Raw genomic sequence first — 11,046 nt, forward strand, 5'->3', positions numbered from 1 at the left:
AGAAAATTCTCAACTGGCAAGTTCAGTTTGACCCTGGTCAGGAAACAAGGGTCACCCATATAGTTCCATCCCAGCTCTGTTCATTGAAGCTTCCAAATAGATCTCAGGCTGTTGGGCTATGGGTTGTTCATATATGGCCTAATAACACAGCGTGAGTAAGTCTTAATGCAAAATAATTACAGTAAATGTAATTGTGAATCTGCTACATTCACCAATTAAAAGAGACCCTCAGGTTGGATTTTTAAAATGAGAACCAAGAAACACGTTTACATCAAAAAAATAAAAAATAAAAATAAAAAACAGAAAGATTGAGAACAAAAGTGTGGAAAACAATATAAAACAAAAAGAAAGTTGGGGTAGCAATTTTTTTTTTGTTTTATTCCTTTTCTTATACTGGCAGCACTTTAAATTGGGAGCATAAATTACATGCACAAAAATGCACAAATCCAAATGGTTAAGTATAGAGATGGCTGATTTTTGTCCAATGCATTCACTTTGGTAACTGTCACACAGATCAGAATAGAGACGACTTCAATCGCCCCAGAAAGTTCCCTTGCGTTGCTTCGCAGTCAGTCAGTATCCACCCATCCCTCCAGCGGCAACCCCTTTTCTGATTTCTATCACCGCAGATTAATTTTGCCTCTTCCGCAACTTTATAGAAACTGAGCCACAGTGCTCATTTTTTTCAGGCTTCTTTTGCTCAACTTAACGTTTTTTGAGATTCATCCTTGTTGTTGTGTGCATTGACAGTCTGTTAGTTTTTATTGCTGAGTAGTATTCCATTGTACGAGTACATCACAGTGTGTTTATTCTCCTATTGACGGTGGTACAGCCCGATGACCTGGCTAGCTGCCAGGTCTGCTGCTCCCCTCCTTTTAAAGGTATCAGTGTCAACACACTCCACACCAGAGCCAGCAATTATCTCAAGTATTTCAAAGGTGTATTAGTCACCCGGGGGTAGTTAAAGTGAGGGGCGTCCCCGAGGAAGGGAGAGGGAGGTGTGGGGGAGGGAGTGGAGCACCTGGAAATATATACAGGATAAGGAGCCCCCCTGTAGGAGTTTTTAATAGTGTCGGGGGAGGGGGAATGGACCAATTTCTGACAGCCCACAGAGTGCAGGGGCGGCTGAGGAGTGAGTGGAGTGAGGAAGAGCAGTGTTAGCAATGTGCAGGCGAGATTTCTAAGAGTGAGCTTAGCAGGCGGGAGTTATCTAGGAGACTGGCACATGCCACTCTCAGGTTTACCTGGAGGTTCCTTTATTATGTGGGGTATTATGTCTGCTTATGCTGTGTGGGCATAGGCAAACAAATAGGAGCACATGCATTTGGATAGGTGCCTGACCTGCAATCATGGGCCTGGGACCAGACCTGATACATCAGCATCCCCTTGATCTGGACCTGGACAGCATAGAGGGAAACCCACGGCCTTAAAACGATAACGTTTGCTATGGATGGCTTTATGGGTTTGTTTCATGAGCTTTGGGTCAGCAAATAAGAGGGGGGGGTCTGTTCCTGGGGGCAGGAAGCAGGCCTGGCATTGTGTGAGGTCCAGCCTTTGGGATGTAACTTCAGCTATGTATACACACAGATTATCACAGGGGGTAGGTAGCCTCAAGCAGTAGCCTTGCCTCAGGAGGCACACGGGGACAAGGTTTTAGCCTTAGTGGAAATGGGCTTTGTTCTCCTAGGGTGGGTATGGAAACTCTAGTGAGGCTGGTCTTAAAAGTGTGGTTTTATGCACACAATGAGGAGGATGGGGAAGGAGAGGGTTATAACCCAGGAGTCTAGAAGGTGGTGGTTGTTTGGACTGTGGTCATCCTTTGAGATACTTTGGTTGGCTGGGCTGTAGTCATCATCCAGGATGTGGCGATGGCCTCCCAGGGCCAGTATGACTCTTGAGCCAAATCCAGGACTTGGAGGCACAGGTCAAGGTCAGAAAGTCTATCATCATAACTACGCTAAAGGTAGCTCCAGGGAGCACAACCAGTGTAGGACCACATTATTTTTTATTCATCCTGATGGCTGGTCTGGATACTGTTCATATGCCTAGTCAATGGTTTTGCAGAGGACTAGTTGTACACTACGGATAGAGATGACACTGTGGGTGCAATACTGCCTTGGTAGCCTGGCATTGAGTAGGGGAAACTGTGTCCCAGATCCAAGCCACCAGCCATATCAGGCATAGCTAGGCCAGTGATAGCCATCGTTCTCTCCTTTCTGCAAGATCTACATGGTGGTAGGCATGGGTCTATAGGCCAACACTTTTATTTCCTGTTGGGAAGGGCCTGTAATTAGCTAACCTTTAAATCCATCATAACTGTGGAAAGCCTTAGAAAGTGGTAGTGCCTGCTTTCCAGAAAAAGTAGAAAAGTCATGTTGGATATTTCACTGTTCCATCTATGGCCAGAGGATCCCAGTGTATTATCCTGCCTTGGGTCCAGGTGTCAACTCTTTGTGGATTGCATTTGGGTAAAAAAAAAAAAAAAAAAGGACACAGAAATGCAGTATGGAGGTTGTGCTCAGGAAATGGGAATCAGAGTTGGGAATCCATGACTTGGAGTCCAAATATATTCATATATTTGTGGGGATTGACAAATTTCACCCATATGGAAAGTATTACTGGGGTCCATTTGGCTCCAATAATTAACACAACCGTGTTTAGTTTGACCCATCCTGTTGTCCTTTGAGTCAGGGCATCAGTGCAAATGATCAGGCTGGCGAATTTGATGGGTGCTATGACCATGGTAAAAATCACACAGAATAATGGTCTCAATGGTGAGGGCTGGCAGGGGGTGGCATACCCTTGCTTCTATAGCCTATAATCCACCTTGGTGAAAAAGAATCCTCTGCTTGAATTTGGAAGGATCCCCAGGAATCCAAGTGACCAGAGAACCTGTGTTGAGTAAGGCCAGAAAGTGTTGAGTATTATGAGGGAACCAATGGACCACCAGGGTTGTATATGGCCATATGACCCTGGAGGGTGGCACCAAAGATGGCCAAGTCTCTATTATATGGAGCTATCGATTCCATTGACAAAGATTGGGGAAAGTAGAGAGGCCATTTAGTGGGAGAGCCATAGAAAATCAATGGCCCAGCATTTGACCCAGAAAAGGATACTTGTGGGCCATTTAAATGGCCCATTATTAGACGTCCTATAGTTCATTTTCATTTTATTTCCATACGGTTTTCAGGAAAAGGTGGTGTTTGGTTACCTAGGTTCTTTAGTGGTGACTTGTGAGATTTTGGTGCACCCATCACCCAAGCAGTATACACTGTACCCAATTTGTGGTCTTTCATCCCTCACCCCCTCCCAACCTTTTCCCCCAAGTCCCCAAAGTCCACCGTATCATTCTTATGCCTTTGCATCCTCATAGCTTAGCAACCATTTATGAGCGACAACATACAATGTTTGGTTTTCCATTCCTGAGTTACTTCACTTAGAGTAATGGTCTCCGATTCCATCCAGATTGCTGCAAATGCCACTATGTCATTCCTTTTTACAGCTGAGTGGTATTCCATGGTATATATACACACCACAATTTTTTTACCCACTCACTGATTGATGGGCATTTGGGCTGGTTCCATATTTTTGCAATTGCAAAATTTGCTGCTATAAACATGCAAGTGCAAGTATCTTTTTCATATAATGACTTCTTTTCCTCTGGGTAGATACCTAGTAGTGGGATTGCTGGATCAAATGGTAGTTCTACTTTTAGTTCTTTAAGGGATCTCCACACTTCTCTTTTCCACGGTTTGTACTAGTTGCGCACTAGTGCTTTGTACTTGCTTACATTCCCACCAGCAGTGTAAGAGTGTTTCCTTTTCACCACATCCCCGCCAACATCTATTATTTTTTGATTATGGTCATTCTTGCAGGAGTAAGGTGGTATCACATTGTGGTTTTGATTTGCATTTCCCTGATCATTAGTGATGTTGAGCATTTTTCATATGTTTGCTGGCCATTTGTATATCTTCTTTGAGAATTGTCTATTCATGTCCTTTGCCCATTTTTTCATGGGATTGTTTGTCTTTTTCTTGATAATTTGTTTCAGTTCCTTGTAGATTCTGGATATTAGTCCTCTTTCGGATGTATAGATTGTGAAGACTTTTTCCCACTCTGTGACTTGCCTGTTTATGCTGCTGTCCATTCCTTTTGCTGTGCAGAAACTTTTTAGTTTAATTAAGTCCCACCTATTTATCATTGTTTTTGTTGCATTTGCTTTTGAGTTCTTGGTCATGAAGTCTTTGCCTAAGCCAATGTCTAGAAGGGTTTTTCCGATGTTATCTTCTAGAATTTTCATAGTTTCAGGTCTTAGATTTAAGTCCTTGATCCACCTTGAGTTGATTTTTGTATAAGGTGAGAGATGAGGATCCAGTTTCATTCTTCTACATGTGGCTTGTCAATTATCTCGGCACCCTTTGTTGAATAGGGTGTCCTTTCCCCACTTCAAGTTTTTGTTTGCTTTGTCAAAGATCAGTTAGGTGTCAGTATGTGGCTTTATTTCTGGGTTCTATATTCTGATCCATTGGTCTGTGTGCCTATTTCTATACCAGTACCATGCTGTTTTGGTGACTATGGCCTTGTAGTATGGTTTGAAGTCCGGCAATGTGATGCCTCCAGATTTGTTCTTTTTGCTTAGTCTTGCTTTGGCTATGCGGGCTCTTTTTTGGTTCCATATGAATCTTAGGATTGTCTTTTCTAGTTCTGTGAAGAATGATGGTGGTATTCTGATGGAAATTGCATGGAATTTGTAGATTGCTTTTGGCAGTGTGGTCATTTTCACAATATTGATTCTACCCATCCATGAGCATGGGATGTGTTTCCATTTGTTGGTGTCATCTATGATTTCTTTCAGCAGTGTTTTGTAGTTTTCCTTGTAAAGGTCTTTCACCTCCTTGGTTAGGTATAGTCCAAGTATTTTATTTTATTTTATTTTATTTTATTTTATTTTATTTTATTTTATTTTATTTTATTTTATTTTTTCAGCTATTGTAAAAGGAGTTGAGTTCTTGATTTGATTCTCAGCTTGGTTGCTGTTGGTGTATAGCAGAGCTACTGATTTTTGTACATTAATTTTGTATCCTGAAAGTTTGCTGAATTTGTGTATCAGTTCCAGAAGCTTTTTTGGAGGAGTCTTTAGGGTTTTCCAGATATACGATCATATCATCAACAAACAGTGACAGTTTGACTCCCTCTTTACTGATTTTGATGCCCTTTATTTATTTCTCTTGTCTGATTGCTCTGGCTAGGACTTCCAGTTCTATGTTGAATAGAAGTGGTGAGAGTGTAGATGACCTATAGTTCTGAAACAGTTTTCCCTGCTACTAAGTGGTCGAGGAAACCTAAATCTCAGTTTCTAGTGTCAGAGAGCCTGTTTGAGATCTTGGCGAATTGGGTGTCAGGGATCCTTATTGTCACCTATGGGCCTCTTTCATTTAAAGGCTTTATTTTGTGTTTGAATTTGGTAGACAATGGCACCTCCCCAAACTATTCAAAAAAATTAAAGAGGAGCGAATTCTCCCTAACCCATTCTATGAGGCTAGCATTACCCTGATACCCCAACCAGACAAGGACACAACAAAAAAAGAAAACTACTGGCCGATATCCCTGATGAACTTAGATGCAAAAATCCTCAGCAAAATACTGGCAAGCCAAATCCAACAGCACATCAAAAAGAAAATACACCATGATCAAGTGTGATTTATTCCAGTGATGTAAGGATGGTTCAACATACAGAAATCAATAAACATGATACATCACATCAACAGAATAAAGGACAGAAACCATGTGATCATCTCAATAGACACAGAAAAAAACATTTGACAAAATTCAACTCCGCTTCATGATAAAAAAAAAAAAAAAACTCTCAACAAAGTAGGCATAGAAGGACCACACCTTAAAATAATAAAGCCCATATGTGACAAACTCATAGCTAACATTATACTAAGTGGGGAAAAATTAAATGCCCTTCCACTAAGAATTAGAACAAGACAAGGATCCCCACTTTCACCACTTCTATTCAACACAGTACTGGAAGTCCTAGCCAGAGCCATCAGGCAAGAAAATGAAATAAAAGTCTTTCAAACTGGAAAAAAGGAAGTCAAAATATCCTTCCTTCCAGACAACATAATCTTATATCTAGAAAAAACAGAAGAACCCCACCAGAAAACCGTTGGAACTGATCCAACACATTCAGTAAAGTTGCAGATACAAAATTGACATACAGAAATCAGTAGCAATTTCAGACACCAATTATGAAATAGCTGAAACAGAAATCAAAAAGGCAACGCACAAAGCAATGGGGTTACAAGCATGAGCCACTGTGCCCAGCAGAGAATTCTTTATATATTCTTAACACAAATGCTTTATCAAATATAAGCTTTGCAAATATTTTTTTCTCAGTCTGTGGTTTGTCTTTTCACACTCTTAACTTGGGTCTTTGCAAGAGCAAAAGTTTTTAATTTTGACAAAGTCCAATTTACCAGTTTTTTTCTTTATGGTGTTTTTTCTTTCTTTATCCTTTTAGTGTCAGATATAAGAATTTTTTGCCTAATCTATTATCACAAAGATTGTCTCCTATATTTTCTTTTTCTTCCCCTTTTACTGACATGGAATAATTTACATACATGTGGGTACATGTGAGTGTTTTTTACATGCAAAGAATGTATAATGATCAAGTCAGGGTAACTGGAGTACCCATCACCTTGCGTGTTTATCGTTTTATGTGTTGGTATCATTTGAACCCCTCTCTTCTAGTTACTTGGAAATGTAAACAGTATTGGTTTTAAGAATAGTTGCCCTAATCCACTACCCAAACATTAGAACTTAATTCTTCTAACTGTGTGATGGTATCCATAACCAACCTCTCTTCACACCCCCTTCCACCCTACCCAATCTCCCCAGTCTCTGGGATCTATCAGTCTATCCTCTATGTCCTTAAAATCAACTTTTTTCGCTCCCATGTGCAAGTGAGAACATGTGAAATTTGTCTTTCAGCACCTGGCTTATTTCACTTAACATGATGACTTCCAGTTCCATTCATGTTGCTGCAAATGACGTGATTTTATTTTTTTCTGTGGTCAGATAGTATTCTATTGTGTGTATATACCACATTTTCTCCATACGTTCATCCACTGATGGGCACTTAGATTGATTCCATATCTTGGCTATTGTGAATAGTGCTGCTATAAACATGTGAGTGCAGGTATTCCTTTGATGTACTGATTTCTTTTCCTTTGGATAGATACCCAGCAGTGGGATTGCTGGGTTGTATGGTAGTTCTATTTTTCATATTTTGATCAGATCCTGCTGGTCGTTGCCTGGAAGTTATTTACACAAACGGGGTTTCCAGCCAGGATTCAGCTGAACTTGTCACTGTATTGGATCTGAATCGTCAACTCAATAAGAGTGTGCATATCTGAGACCTCTTGTTGTCTCTACCTGTTCAAGGTGTCATCTTACCCATGGCTGGTAGAAAGTTCATGCTGAATTAAGCTTTGAATCTCTTCATCGTTGGGTTTATTGAATCACTCCATCATTGGGTTTGTTTCAGTTTCCTAGGAATACAGTCTCTTGGGATTTGTTTGATTCACTGGTCAGATTTGTGTTGTTCCTTGGTGCAGTTGCTTTCTGGCCTTCTAAATCTGCTCTTATGGTCTGTCTGCTTGTTTAGTATCTTAAGTGCCATTTGTCTGTAAAATGATTACTGAGTGGGGGAGGATAGGCATAAACTCAGTAAGTCTGTCTGCAAGCCAGTCCCTTGGACTGAGAAGCTCAGACGATCTCCCAAGACCGTTTTTCTTCAGACGTATGTTGTCTCAGGTCACCATATCGAAACACTTTAAGGACCTTTTCCTTAGTCTTGTGTTTGTGTCAGTTTGCCAAAACTGCTTTGTTCAGTTTCACTTGCCCAGAAACAGCTGGTATTGTCTGGCCCCTGATGGGGGACAACTGGCCTTGCACCAAATTCCACAGACACTAAGTTACAAAAGCGCCATGCTTGTAGACTGCTGTTTCTTATGGGGTCATTCTATCTAAAACTGCATTTCTTCCAGGACAAACACCTGTTTCCTTCATGTTTTCTCATTATAATGTTAGCGTATGTACTTGTCCCTAACGGACACAATTTCACTAGGGCCAATTTGAAAATTGCTATGGCCTTTTTTGGGACATCTTGACACGAATCAGATTTTTCATTTGACAGGTACCCTAAAAACAAAACAAAATGTGAATCAATCTTCATGAGGAGATTGTTTTTCCTGGCTGCCTAAATGAGAGATCATTTTGTTTAATATAGGAGTCAGTCCCATCTTCATTTCCATCACTTGGATTAATACATCCCAGCTCTTTATTCGCGTGGCTTGATAATATTGTCTAGGGCTTAAGTCCTCAAATCAGCCACACTGTCACTCTCTTTAGTGTGTATGTTTATCAAAATGTTTCTCTATATCTAAACTTTGTTTTCTCTCCTTACAGGAAGCCCTATAAAATGGACATAAATCTTAAAACCTTGACATCTTTTACTTGCATCCAGAGGTATGGCCATAATAAAAGTGGAGTTTAAACAAAAAATGCTTCCTGATATTTCTCACAATTGCAGAGATAAGTTGGCCATGATATTGAAGCATTCAATATTAGTTGAGTAATTTTAAGAATATTGCCAAGAAAATTTCCAATACATATCTACCAGCTGAAGACACAATCCTGGCAAGACTATGCAGGCAAGACATGGGACAGAGCCACAAGCTCAAGGCCTCTTTGAACACCTCCAAATGGATTTTCCACAAGTGCCTTCAGCAGCGGTCCATAAATATGTTCTGGTTATTGGTTTTCGTTCTTAGGGTGGGTGCACTCTCTTAGTTGAACAGCTATGGCCGTCATGATTTTTAAAATTACTTTATATTCAAAAACTGGAGAATTCCAACTTATCTCTTCAGTAACATGGACACATATTTCACTAGAAGTATTATTAAAGAATAATTTAACACCTTTTATTCAGAACTCCACTGTCCTTATCATCCGCAGACTGCAGAGAAAATAAAGAGAGCTAATGGAATTCTCAACTTAGAATTTTCAAAGCTCTCAGGTATCCTTAAACTTCCAAGCACCGAACTATTTCCACTGGCCTTGATGACAATAAGATCAATCCCCCTCAGGACCTGCAAGTTCTCTACTCTGGAGTTAATTATCAGACTGCCCCACACATTTGGAAATTGCTTCCAGTCGTACTTTCTGCCACACTACAGTCAATGTGTCTGAATACAAGAGATCATATGATGCTTCCAGGTGTTTCACCAAGTACAAGCTTCATTTCCAAAACCCCAGCTAAGAAGCTTCTGTAAGATCTGTAACTGGGAGATTTAGTCTTCTGGAAGTGACATAAAAGGAAAACTGCCCTTGAACCTCAATTAAAAAGACCTCATCAGACACTGCTAATAACTGACACAACAATAAAACAACACGGAATAGATCCGGGAATCATACTTCCCAATTAGAAAAAAAATACATCATTTTGTCCCGACTACTGGAAGCCCATTCCATTAGGGAACCTCAAACTGAGGATTCTTAGAAATTCTTCAGAAACAGCTGATTTCAAAAATGGACAGATTCCGTCCAAGACTATAGAATGAACCACCTACTTCGGAAGTGGACAACTTCTGCCCAAAACTGCAGAACGAGGTTAATTTTCTGATTTTTTTTCCCAGCACTTTTTTCACCTGTCCTATGGCCTATCATGTTGTGTCACCCTCTGGAACATTAACATGATCTTTTTATCTTTTTTCTGCCCCCGCTATGGTTTTCTTCTACCACTTAAGAAAAAAGCAAAACTCTTTTGTACTTTTTCCCAGACTCTAGCTATTGCTCTGAAGTTCACTGGTTCTAGGATTTATAGTCCCTTGTTCTCCTTTCTGGCCAAAATTTAATAGCCATCCCTTTAAACAGTTCAAAAGGTAGGGCTGGGCACGGTGGCTCACGCCTGTAATCCGAGCACTTTAGGAGGCTGAGTCAGGCAGATCTCTTGAGCTCAGCAGTTTGAGACCAGTCTGGCCAACATGGTGAAACCCTGTCTCTACCAAAAGTACAAAAATAAGCCCGGTGTGGTGGCACCTGCCTGTATTCCCAGCTACTCATGAGGCACAAGAATTGCTTAAATCCGGGAGACGGAGGTTGCAGTGAGCCGGGATCATGCCACTGCACACCAGCCTGTGACAGAGTGAAACTCTGACTTAGAAAATAAATAAACAGATGCTGACTTAGGAAGATGGCCTAATAGGAACAGCTCCAGTCTGCAGCTCCCAGCAAGATCGATGCAGAAGATGGGTGATTTCTGCATTTCCAACTGAGGTGCCTGGTTCATCTCATTGGGACTGGTTGAACAGTGGGTATAGCCCACTGGGGGTGAACTGAAGCAGGGCAGGGCGTTGCCTCACCCAGGAAGCACAAGGGGTCGGGGGATTTCCCTTTCCTAGCCAAAGGAAGCCATGACAGACCGTACATGGAGAAACGGTGCACTCCTGACCAAATACTGCACTTTTCCCACGGTCTCAGCAACCGGCAGATCAGGAGATACCCTCCCATGCCTGGCTCGGTGGGTCCCATGCCCACGGAGCCTTGCTCACTGCTAGCGCCAGCAGTCTAAGATCAACCTGCTATGCTGCAGCTTGACGGGGGGAGAGGCGTCCACCACTGCTGAGCCTTGAGTAGCTTACCGTGTAAACAAAGCAGCTGGGAATCACAAACTGTGTGGAGCCCACTGCAGCTCAGCAAGGCCTACTGTCTTTATAGATTCCACCTCTGGGGGCAGGGCATATCTGAACAAAAGGCAGCAGACAGCTTCTGCGGACTTAAACATCCCTGTCAGACAGCTCTGAAGAGAGGAGTGGTTATCTCAGCATGGCATTCAAGCTCCAAGAATGGACAGACTGCCTCCTCAAGCTGGTCCCTGACCCCTGTGTAGCCTGACTGGGAAACACCTCCCAGTAGGGGCCAACAGACACCTCAAGCAGGCAGGTGCTCTTCTAGGACGAAGCTTCCAGAGGAAGGATC

The 11,046-nt window shown here is 41.7% G+C and overlaps 1 annotated feature.

The window, feature by feature from the left end:
• Window positions 10,092-10,593: an enhancer, noted in NCBI's record as "H3K4me1 hESC enhancer chrX:72179367-72179868 (GRCh37/hg19 assembly coordinates)". NCBI's record gives its function as "activates a minimal SCP1, AML or CMV promoter by ChIP-STARR-seq in primed H9 embryonic stem cells {active_cell/tissue: H9 hESC(primed)}" and the evidence as "EXISTENCE:reporter gene assay evidence [ECO:0000049][PMID:30033119]".

Source organism: Homo sapiens, chromosome X (genome assembly GCF_000001405.40).
Source record: "Homo sapiens chromosome X, GRCh38.p14 Primary Assembly".
Lineage (NCBI taxonomy): Eukaryota > Metazoa > Chordata > Mammalia > Primates > Hominidae > Homo > Homo sapiens.